The sequence below is a fragment of the Homo sapiens genome, chromosome 14 (genome assembly GCF_000001405.40).
Source record: "Homo sapiens chromosome 14, GRCh38.p14 Primary Assembly".
Classification (NCBI taxonomy): domain Eukaryota; kingdom Metazoa; phylum Chordata; class Mammalia; order Primates; family Hominidae; genus Homo; species Homo sapiens.
In genome coordinates, this window is record NC_000014.9 from 76,184,832 (window position 1) to 76,197,030 (window position 12,199).

At 36.1% G+C, this 12,199-nt stretch overlaps 1 protein-coding gene across 17 annotated transcripts in view, besides 1 other annotated feature; it reads left to right on the forward strand.

Moving 5' to 3' along the window:
* Positions 1-12,199, forward strand: part of GPATCH2L (G-patch domain containing 2 like) — an 83,634-nt gene that overhangs the window by 32,910 nt on the left and 38,525 nt on the right. For 15 of the 17 annotated variants that reach the window (XR_007064029.1, XR_007064030.1, XR_001750415.2 and 12 more), the window contains one exon: positions 11,047-11,141. Coding sequence is in view for 13 of the 17 variants with exons in the window: in XM_047431559.1 (XP_047287515.1) it covers positions 11,047-11,141 (95 nt within the window). In the remaining 4 variants the exon portion in view is untranslated. Of the gene's footprint in view, positions 1-11,046; positions 11,599-12,199 lie in introns of those variants that run through there. The other 2 variants (NM_001322029.2, XM_047431560.1) reach the window with 2 other exon arrangements.
* Positions 5,546-5,635: an enhancer, noted in NCBI's record as "active region_8766". NCBI's record gives its function as "activates an Ori minimal core promoter by ATAC-STARR-seq in GM12878 lymphoblastoid cells {active_cell/tissue: GM12878}" and the evidence as "EXISTENCE:reporter gene assay evidence [ECO:0000049][PMID:35858748]".

Here is a 12,199-nt window from a genome sequence, read left to right on the forward strand (position 1 = left end):
CTGGGATAAGGCCTAGACATTGGCATTATTTTAAAGCTCCCTAGGTGATTAATATGCCAGCCAGGGTTAAGAACTGTTGTCCTAAATGCATATGGTTTTGTGACTGGTGCTTTGTAATTTGCTTAATAGGGTCTCCCCTTTCATAATTGGTGCAAACTCTGTACTTTGGTATGGTATGCACCATTCCTTACGGGAGGTAGACCTCTGGACTTCTCTTAGCTTTGGAGAACCTACTGCAGGTAGAGAAGAGTGTTAGTATCTGCACGGTGCCCAGCACATAGTTCTTAATAAATGGATCAGGGGCAGAGTTTTGTCAGGTGGATATATGGATAGTTGGATTGTTGGCTGGGTGTGTAGATGAAATCCATAAACCAAGTGTTTTGGTTTGGTTGTTTTGGTTGCTAGTATTGGGATTTGCTGTTAAAGGTGTGATACCTGGTATTGGTGTTAAGAATTGCTGCTGCCCAAACAGCAGATGGTGTGATTGGCGTTCTGGTAGAGGCAGTGGTATTGTTAAGGGCACAGTCACAAACTTGTAATAAGAAGACTAGTGCTGCAAGCAGTTTTTCCCAAAATGAGAGATTTGTTGATTGTGAAGGATAGTTTTTCTTACTATTATTACCAAAGAAAATGATAGCTAGGATTTATCAATTGCTACATACAGGTCAGTTGCATCTATGTGATTCATCAATCACCAGTTGCAGTTTTTGAGTGCAAAAACTTTTCATGGCAGTGTTTTAGTTTTCTCCAACTCAAAGGAAAGGTCAACTTTTAGTGACCTTTCCTTTATTTTGGAAGATAATTTGGTCAAGCATTACCATTTTAATTTATTCTTTCTTTAAGCTCTGAAATAGCAAAGCACTGATATCTTCTTTTCATATAGGTCAGCTTCCTTTGTAAATAAACTGTTTTTTCTTTGAGAAATCTTATTTTTAGTTGTGGTAAGGATGGCAGATATCAGCCTGGTATGCAAATGTTATACGTGTTTCTTAATGAATGGATGAAAAGTTTCATAGCTTCTACTTTCTTCATAGTCCATTGGCATAGGTGGTAGGAGATTAAGAGTGTAGATATTAGTGTCAGGCAGACCTGGGCGAGAATCCGGGCTTTACCCAGGCAAATGACTTAATCTTCCCATACCTCAATTTCTACATCTTTAAAATGGAAATATCAATACTTTTTAAATTGGTTGAATGGGGACCAAAATGAAATAATATATGTAAATATTGAGCATCCTGGTAACCAATATTATTTTTGTTATGTAGTTACTGCCCTACCCCATCCTTAGGATAATTGCAATTTTAAAAACTTTGAGTTGGCTTCCAGAGTCATTTGCTAATTAGATGTAATACTGATTCTTGAGGTGCTTAAATGACCTCAAATGGTCTATAAGAGGAGGCATTTGGACAGAGTTGGGGTTAAAAAAAAAGAGAGAGAGACCTTCCTGCCCATTAGAGAGTTGAAATAGGATAGGCTGAGCTCATTTGTAATTCATTTTATCTGTTCACAAACGTTATGATCTGCATATCAGAGTTGTGTGCCCAGCTGGCTGTGCCACTTGACAAGGAGTTTCAAAGAGTAAGAAGAAGACTCACTTCATGCTATTAATTTTGACCTTTGGAGCCATAATAAACAGCCTGAGGTTTTACCTCAGGGCTTGGGGGAAGGAACCTTTTATTAGTCCTGTATCTGTTGATGCTGTGAAGCACAGTGTTGCTTTCTCACCTCTTTAATGCCTCAGTTTCAGCCACATGTGTGAAGCAGTTTCTGCTATAGTATTGTCTATAAGGCTGCCCAAGCCTATTGGAATTGCCCATTGTATAGTACACAGTTCTTGAATCTTTTGTCCTCTATTGGAGGGTCTCGTTGACAGTGGCTCTCAGCTGGCTGGCATCTTACTGCCTAAGTGGAATGATGAAAGCATTTTCTCTCTCTCTGTTTTTCCATTGTAAGATACCCATCTTTCCAACTGATGTGAAATGATTTGGCTCTTATGGGCGGCATGAAACAGCTTCATAGATATGCCTACTTTAGCCCAGCTAAGGGAATTAGATTAGGGAGAATTTTCAGGTGCCAGTGAGCAGTTTGTCACAGACTACTGAGGGTTAGATTTAAGTGAAAATCATTAGTGGAATTGCTAGGATCGCTTCCTGTTAGATAAGCCTCCTCTGTTTCCTATGATAATTGTGAAGTGTTTTTTTTTTTTCTTTTCTTCCTATCTGCTCCTAGTGCCATAGGCCTAGATCTTTTCCCAGGTGCAAGTCTATGAAAATATTTCCCCTCCTGACTGCTTAATAAATGTCAGTAAACCTTAAAGGTAAAATCACATGTGAGAAAGGAGTCTCACATTTAATCTAGGGATTAAATCTCTAGATTTAATCCTCCTTTTTCTCCTTTTACCCTAGCACTTACTTGTTCTCTGATTACAACTCAGTGTCTCGGAGTATTAATTCTTTCTTTAGGAATTGGCCTTCCTACTGTGTTGTGAGCTCCTGGGGACAGGACCTCAGCTCAGTCATCTTTTATCTCCCTCTGCACATCCAGCATAGTATGTTACATTGGGTAGGCCTCCATACATTTTTGTTAAAAATAATTGAGGTGAATAGATTAGTAATTAAGCAGAATAATTGGAATATATATATGAACTTTGGTCCCTAGAAATATCAAATTTTTTCCTGGTGTTACTTGTGTTAAAGAAAAAGTATAGAAAACAAATACCATTTTTACATTGAATTTTATTAACTTTCTAATTTTTAATTTTTGTGGGTTTGTAGTAGGTGTATATACTTATGGGGTACATGAGATGGTTTGATATAGGCATGTAATGCGTAATAATCACATCATGGAGAATGGGGTATCCATCCCCTCAAGCATTTATTCTTTGTGTTACAAACAAACCAATTTTACTTTTATTTAAAAATGTACAGTTAGATTATTATTGACTGTAGCCACCCTGTTGTGCTATCAAATAGTAGATCTTATTCATTCTTTCAATTTTTTTATACATATTAACCATCCACATTCCCCACCACCCTCATTACCCTTCCCAGCCTCTGGTAACCCTCCTTCTACTCTTTATCTCCATTAGTTCAATTGTTTTGATTTTTAGATCCCACAAATAAGTGAGAACATGTGATTTTTGTCTTTCTGTGCCTGGTCTATCTTACTTAATATAATTATCTCCATTTCCATCCATGTTGTTGCAAATAACAGGATCTCATTCTTTTTTATGGCTGAATAGTACTGCATTGTGTATATGCACCACATTTTCTTTATCCATCATCAGTTGATGAACACTTAGGTTGCTTCCGAATTTTGGCTATTGTGAACAGGGCTGCAGCAAACCTGGGGGTGCAGATATCTCTTTGATATACTGATTTCCTTTCTTTTGGGTATTTACCCAATAGTGAGATTGCTGGATCATATGGTAGCTCTATTTTTAGTTTTTTTGAGGAACCTCCAAACTATTCTGCATAGTGGTTGTACTAATTTACATTCCCACCAACAGTGTACGAAGATTACCTTTTCACCACATCCTCACCAGCATTATTAGTTGTATTTTGGATGTAAGCCATTTTAACTGGGGTCAGATGATGTCTCATTGTAGTTTTGATTTGCATTTTTCTGATGATCAGTGATATTGAGCATCTTTTCATATGCCTGTTTGCCACTTGTATGTCTTTTGAGAAATATCTGTTCAAATCTTTTTTGATTGGATTATTAGATTTTTTTTCTACAGGGTTGTTTGAGCTCCTTATATATTCTAATTATTAACCCTTTGTCAAATGGGTAGTTTGCAGATATTTTCTCCCATTCTGCGGGTTGTTTATTCACTTTGTTGATTGTTTCCTTTGCTGTGCAGAAGGTTTTTAACTCAATGTGATCCCATTTGTCCATTTTTGCCTTGGTTGTTGTGATTGTGGGGTATTACTCAAAAAATTTTTGCCCAGACGAATGTCCTGGAGATTTTTCCCAATGTTTTCTTATAGTAGTTTCATAGTTTGAGATTTCAGATTTAAGTCTTTAATCTACTTGATTTGATTTTTGTATATGGTGAGAGATAGGGGTCTAGTTTCATTCTTCTGCATATGGATATCCAGTTTTCCCTGCACCATTTATTGAAGAGACTGTCTTTTCCCCAGTATATGTTCTTGGCACCTTTGCTGAAAATGAGGTCACTCTGCATGTGTGGATTTGTTTCTGGGTTCTCTATTCTGTTCCATTGGTCTATGTGTCTGTTTTTATGCCAGTACAATGCTATTTCAGTTACTATAGCTCTGTAGTATAATTTGAAGCCAGGTAGTGTGGTTCCTTCAGTTTTGTTCTTTTTGTTTAGGATAGCTTTGGCTGTTCTGGGTCTCTTGTGGCTGCATATAAATTTTTGGATTCTTTTTCCTATCTCTGTGAAGAATGTCACTGGTATTTTGATAGGGATTGCATTGAATCTGTAGATTGGTTTGGCTAGTATGGACATTTTAACAATATTGATTCTTTCAATCCATGAACATGGAATATCTCTCAGTTTTTTTGGTGTCTTCTTCAATTTCTTTCATCCATGTTTTATATTTTTCATTATAGAGATCTTTTATTTCTGTAAGTTAATTCCTAGGTATTTAATTTTATTTGTGGCCACTATAAATGGGGTTAATTTTTAAATTTGTTTTTCAGATTGTTCACTCTTGGCATATAGAAATGCTACTGAATTTTTTGTGTTGATTTTTTATCTTGCAACTTTACTGAACTTGTTTATCACTACTGACAGTTTTGTGGTAGTCTTTAGGTTTTTCCAAATATAAGTTCATATCATCTACAAACAAGGATACTTTGATGTCTTCCTTTTCGGTTTGGATGCCCTTTATTTCTTTCTCTTGTCTGATTACTCTAGCTAGGACTTCCAGTCCTAAATTGAGTAACAGTGGTGAAGGTGGGCATCCTTATCATGTTCCATATCTTAGAAGAGAGGCCTTTCAGTTTTTCCCCATTCAGTATGATACTAGCTGTGGGCCTGTCATATATGGCTTTTATTGTGTTGAGGTATGTTCCTTCTATACCCAGTTTTTTGAGGATTTTTATTCTATATAAAAAGATGAACTTTTCATTAACTTTAAAAATGAGTGATTTTTGAAGGTGAACTATTCCTTAAACTAGCTTGCCATTCGCAGACAGACTGTTTTCTCTCCTTAGGAGTGACTCTAAAGATCTTTGTTCCAAATCTAACGCAGTCACTTCAGTTATTTTTTGCCAACATTGGTTCTATTAAACATGCATGTATTTCTCAAAGTATTTTTTTTTCCCTAAAAGTACATTCCTGCCCCAAGGACATAGTGATCTGCCCGGTTTCCTAAGTAACACTGCAGTTTTAACAACTCACCTGATCTTTCAGTTACCTGCAGTAAAAAAGAAAATAGAAATGTTGTGTTTATGCTTGGATAGAAAGAATCCTCTTTCCATTAATTGTTAATTTCAGCATTCACCTTCACACTTGTAATAACAATTTAATGACTTTTTCTGAGATAAGAATTTTTTTTAAATTCTTATTTAAAAATAAAAATTTTTTGCTTTTAGTGCTCATTCTTCCAACTCTGCCCTGGCAAATACCACCACAGTGGGGAAACTATGACACTCTTAGGGGAAGTACTGATCCCACACTTACACTATGAAAGAAGCGTATACCCCAGGTTTCGCTGGCCTGAGTGAAGATTGTCCCTGAGGCCCTGATCAGATGAAACAGAACAGGCATAGCCTGTCTTTTCTCTAATTGCATATATACTGGGGAACAGTATTTTTATCTAAATTTATATTCATTTAATCATTCTATTATTCTTTAGGTTGAATACTTAGATCTCTATTATTGACTAGGTTGGCTCTGGGAATTTGGTAGATTTTTCAACTCAGTAATTTTCGAAGTAGGTAGGTGCTTATCAGAATTACCCAGGGAAAAATTTCAAAATAAATATGTTACTGATTCTGCTCCCACTCCTCCCCAGCCTACTGAATTAGGATCTTGATAGGGACATGTGTATTTAGTAAAAGCTCCTTATATAATTCGGATAACCATTTGCCACTCCAGTTGAGAATGAAGTTTTAACTTGGTGGAGACTTTAACTTATACTTAGCCTTTTATACAATGTGCCTAATTGAAAGATCACTTCCCTTAACGTATTACATGGTTTGCAACCCAAGAACAACCATATACTACACTTGAAAAAGAGTTCTGAAATATCTCGTTACTCTTTCAACCTTTCTACTTGTAGGGAGGGTCTCTGTGTTGGTGAGAAAGGGAAGTTCAGACTCTCTATCCTTGTTGTTACTGCATTTGTGCTTTTGTCCCTCTTTTAGTTTCCATTTTGAGAGTAAACAGTGATGCTTTCAAAGTAAAATAACACACATTAAATAAATAACACATTAAAAAGAAAAGGAGTCAAGTGGTTGTTAAGTACCCCTAAATGAAAATGGGGTTGGGGAAGTGGTCAACCTCCTTATTTTTCCTTCCCTTCTTTAATTTTTTATGTCTGCAATTGATGATCTGGAATTTGGGGATGAACAAAAAACTGGAACTGTCTTGTCAATAGGAAGCCGAAGCTGTAGCAGTTGCCTTACCCACATGGTAAGGTTCCCCAAAATAATACAGGCAGCCCTGCCAACCCCACATGTAATATTCTTCACTTCTGAGCAGGGCTGTGCTAATATTCTGAATGTGCCGTGCCACATGACAGCTTCCATTTCCTGCCTCTAAATCCTCTTGCTCTAAGCACCCAACTTCCTTCTTTTCCCCAGGCTTGTTCTCTTTTTCTTCCTCTTCTTTTTAAAATTTTATTTTATTTTAAAAAACTGACACATAATGACTATACATATTTATGGGGTACACAGTGGCATTTCAATACATACAATAGTGATCAAATCAGGGTCATTAGCATATCCATCTGCTCAAACATTTATCATTTCTTTTTGTTAGAAGCATTCAATATCTTCCTTCTAGCTATTTGAAACTGTGTAATATACAATTGTTAACTATAGTCACCTTACAGTACTATAGAATGCTAGAATTTATTCCTCCTATCTAGCTATAAGTTTATATCTTTTAACAAATCCTTCTCTATCCCTTCCTTCCCCTACCCCAGCCTGAAGTATCCTCTGTTCTACTTTTTACTTCTATGAGATCAACTTTTTTAAGCTTCCACTTATGAGTGAGAACTCAATGTGTTTAACTTTCTGTTCCTGGCTTGTTTTCACTTAACCTAATGTCCTCTAGTTCCATCCATGTTGCTGTGAATGACAGGACTTACTCTTTTTTTTTTTTTTTTTTAAACGCCTGAATAGTATTCCATTGTGTAGCAGGCTTGTTCTGGGTCCTCTTCCTTCTTTGTCCTCTAGGGTTCTTTCCAAGCAGATGGGGACTTCACATAGAAAAATAGATTTTCCCAAGCTGTAAACTCTAGCAGTACTAATGTTCACTTAAAACCAAGGAAGAAGCAAAATGTCTTACTGTCCTGTTATAACAGTTTGATCATTTCTCTTCTTCCCTCCCCAAATCTTGTCTAGGAAGGGACATAGAGAAAAATGTCCTCATATACTGACAGCGAAGATATGATGTTATTCTACCTCCTATGAAATAGCTCTCCAACCTTGAAATGGGTCTTAAGAGAAATGTTTTAAGAGGGAAGGATCATTTAAACTGAGTTTTAAAAACGAACATACCTTCTCTTCATTGATACCCTAGTTTCTTTGTTATTCATATTCTGTAACCTGAAAAGCTGTGCAGCTGCAGATAGGACTTGGCTATAAGATCCATCAAGGCAGAGATTGTCTCTTGTTTATCACTATATCCCTAGTGTTTAGTACAGTGCTTGGCAAGAGTAGGTGCTCAGTAAAAATTTAGTGAACAATGAAAGAAGCAACAAAACTGCTTAGTAGAAAGGAAATAGTCCACAAAAGTATATACTTTTACAATAAAATAATTCACTTAACAAGTTTCTTTACTTGATTTCCTTAGAAAGTCTTCAGTTCTTTCCTGTTATAACCAGAGGAATTTACAAAATCTGAAGGATTTAAGATATTCAAGGCAACAGTTAGAGGTAGGAATGGGGTGGTAGAAGTAGACCATTTACCACAGAGAGAAGTAATATGCTGGAGGCATAGCAGTCAAGGGTCACTTAATGTAGAGACAATTGACCTGAAGGCTTAACAATATCGCCTAGAGGAGCAGGGTGGTGGTGGAAGGACCACCTGAGCCATTGAACCCACAATAGCACCCTAAGATGTTGTGGTATAATAACCTGTGTGCGTAATAATAGGTAAGTAATACTTATTCTCAGTTTGCTAAAGTAAATAAGCATTTCCATTAAAAGTTGTTAAAAACTTTAACATTTTAGTGTATAAATGGTTTTTTTTTTTAAATTCCAAAATGACACTGTCATTCCTCGAAAGTGTGAGATAAGTAGTACTGACTAGATCCATAAAAGAGTTGATAATATGGGCCTTTTCCCATGTTACTGACATATATCAAACACGCAAAATGGTGAAAATGATGGATGGGGGCAAATAAAAGGCAGTATTTGTGTAGTTCAGCTCAAGTTGATACTCCAAGAATTAGTATCTTAATATACTTCTTGAGTACTTATGCTTCTCATTTTGCATCTGTCTCATGAAACTCAGCATATTGTAAACTGTGATCTTGAAGAAGCAATGTTTTAAATTAACTTTTTATTGAAGGATAAACATACAGGGAAGAGTACAAAGAAATATACACTTGATAAACAGTCACAAAGTTACAGTCAAGTAACAAGCATCCAGATGAAGAAAAAGAGAGTTATCAGAAAGAACCCCAGAAGCTCCCTGTGCCTCTTTCTCTGCCTGTCTTCCCCCTCACCACTGCTGTAGAGTGCCACCATCCTGATGTCTAACAGTAACATGGTTTAGCTTGAATCAGTGGTGTTAACATTTTTTCTGAAAAGCTTTGGAGGTTCCTTTAATGAGCTTCAGATAAAGAGGAAAGAAGCATGACTATACACTGTTAGCCTTTGTTTGACTTTGTTTCTCCTTCTGAATCATGCCTGAGGATAAGGATGATTGAATAAGATCAGAGTGCTTGGATAGTCTCAGTTTGGGTATGTACTCAAGTCTTATGTTTGTGGAAAAGATGGATGCTCTATGTGTTCTACATTTCTCTGTTTTGAGGAGAAACACAATTTTGTAGTGTCACTTTATTTTCTGCTTGTGTCTGGACTTCAAAGGGAATTACCACCACTCCGTTCAGACTGAAGTCCTGTCTCCCTTTGATGTTGTCACCTGTGTTAATTTATTATTAAATCAGCATGCTGCTTAGACTTGTTCCCAGGATTTATGCAAGGTATGAAAAAGGAAGCGTTTTCCCTACTTTACACATTGATAATTAGCTATTTAGAATTAACTATTTGAGCTTTCAGAATTAATTATTCATGAGGTATTTGACTTAATTTTCTGTACAGGACAGAGTGATCAATAAAAGGTGCTTTGGATGGAATTTTCCAAACCACTGGCTTTGTATTATAAATCTCAGCCTGTAGCATTCTTTGCATTCCTAAAGAATTTCTTAGGATTTTAGTCAAATTCTTATATTTTCCTATTTATAAATTGAATTGACTCTTAAGCTTTTGCTATTTAGAGACATGAAAGTGTGTGTGTGTGTGTGTGTGCACGCTCATGCTTGCGTGCACGCATGCATGCACCCTTTTCAACTGTGCAAGTTATTTTGGGGACTTTCTGAGTCAAAAAATTTGTCCATTCAACAGCTGCCTTGTTGCCTTGCTAACCAGGTTTTCTTAGGTTTGTCTGAGGTTCCAGTTTTAAGACTACTAAGGGTCTTAATCCTCAGCTGGGACTACTGATTAGGAGTTTATCTGGTATAATTTTATATGTTATTTACTTTGGCTAGTTTTTTAAAATTGTGGTAAAATGTACATAATATAAAATTTACTATTTTAATCACTTTTAAGTGTTCAAGTGGCCATTTGATTTTTAGAACTTTTATTCATTCATAGCAGTTTTAATCAACAGCTAATGAGGATCGCCTGTGTGCCTTGAGCCAAGGTTGGTAGATCATTGGAAAATTATCAAAGAAGTGTAAATAAAGTTTCTGTTCTCAAGATCCCTGTTCTTAATCTCAAAGAGATTAAGCCTTCTTGTTTCATTAGAGAAGCAAGATATATGCACACCAGTTAAACATTGCTTCATGGTAGATGAGGCCCCAAATGTTCAAGGAACACTTTGTGTAAAGGTGAGACTCATTTTGGTCTTTAATCAGAGGCAGGATCTGTCTAGTTTGAGAGGGACAAAATCTTCACATACGTAAAGATTTTTATTTTACTTCTTAATTTGCATACAGTACAATACATTCTTGGGGAACAGTGGTGAACTAAAATAGCATACCACGTAGTTCAGTGTTAATCCCATTGTCTTTCACAGAATCGTTTGCTTTTAAAATAAGCTGAGTATTCAGATGAAGGAACATATTGTCACATAATTAATATTTTTATTTTTTTACCTGTAAAATAAAAAGCATAATTAATATTTTTAAAAGTCACAGAAACTAAACTTACTTAACTTGTGATGTAGACAGTATTAAAAATTCAGATTTACATGACAGGAGGTTGAACTTCCTATTAAAATTCTATGCAAATATCTGTGTTCATGCAGCATTAAACTTTTCAATGTATTACCTCTTGGGAGTAAGTATTTCATTAGTGAGTTTAGAGCAATTGTGGTTATAGTTTTTATGAAAAATAATTGTATAAAAATAAGCATGTAATGCAACACATATTTATTGAAATTAATCTTGAATGTCTGCTACACTGAAATCAGGTAAAAAGTTTAGAATGGGTGTGTATTGTGGATAAAGAGTGAGTTATTATTAATTCTGAATAATGTTGTCCCAATGCTTAATGGCAAAAGATGGTGCCCATTTTGTTTATGTCTGTAATAGGTTAAGGATTTAATCTGGGCTACATGTAATGTCTTACAATAAGAATTAAAAAGTTCAAACCATTTTTCTTCTTCTTACATCTGCAGACAGGCAAATGTACACTGGGGACCACCATGTTCACGTGACATCAAGAGGAAGCGGAAACCAGTGGCCACAGCATCTTTGTCTAGCCCCAGTGCAGGTGATTACATGCAGTTATCATTTATTGAGCATGTACCGTGTGCCAGGCACTAAATTATGTGTTTTGTATACCTTTTCATGTAATGTTTGTGATAGTGTAGGTCATTTTATTCCCACTTTACATGGGAAAACTGAGACTACAAGAAATAATTAGCCTAGTTCTTGCTGACTCTGAAGTCTGTGCTTTTTCACTGTTACATGGCTATCTAGAGTTTGAAACCCTATATTCCACTATCAGCAATCTCCAGTCATCTGAGCTTTTGTTTTAGCAGACAGGAAATTAGGTCCATGTTAATGAAAGTCCAGGTGAAGTGGCAGTTCAGTCAGGCAGTCACACAGGGTTATTTACTTTCTTATTTTGCATACAGTACAGTACATTCTTACTGCTTTTATAAGTAGAATGCTAATATTTTACTGGTCATGACATTCCTAATTAAAAACAATTTTTTAGGCTAAAACTTTTCAGTTTTTTTTTTTTTTTTTTTTAACAAAACTAACACTAATTGGTAGAAGCCAAAATAGTGCTTCTCTTTGGTGGGGGGCAGTGACCAAGAGAGGGCACAAAGAAACCCTCTGGGCTGTTGGCAATGCTCCATATGATGAACTTGGTGGGGGTGTGTGGCTGCTTACATAGGTAGAATCTGGAGCTGTGCACTTAGGGTTGATGTCCTTCACTGTGTGTATGTTATCCTTCAATGAAAAAAAGGGGAGAGTTATGTATTTATTAATATTTCAGTGAGAAAACTGGATATTGAATATACCATTGAATATTTTATTTTCTTTAGAAAATACTACCTATTATATAAATCAGAACAGTTGATAGCTGAATAGAGAGTAAACCTCACACAGATGGGGAGGGAGCCCTATCCTCTACCTTAACTTAGTAAGTTTTGGTGAACTGTGAAATTGTCCTCTTTGTGCTTCTGTTTGGAAAGTCTGCTTTATGGTGGTTCATACTGGACAATCTTCATTACAGGTCTGATGATTATAGTACTTTTTTTTCAGTGCTTTCCACATGGCCAGGCCCTGAGCTGAACACTTTGTAAACATTATTTCACC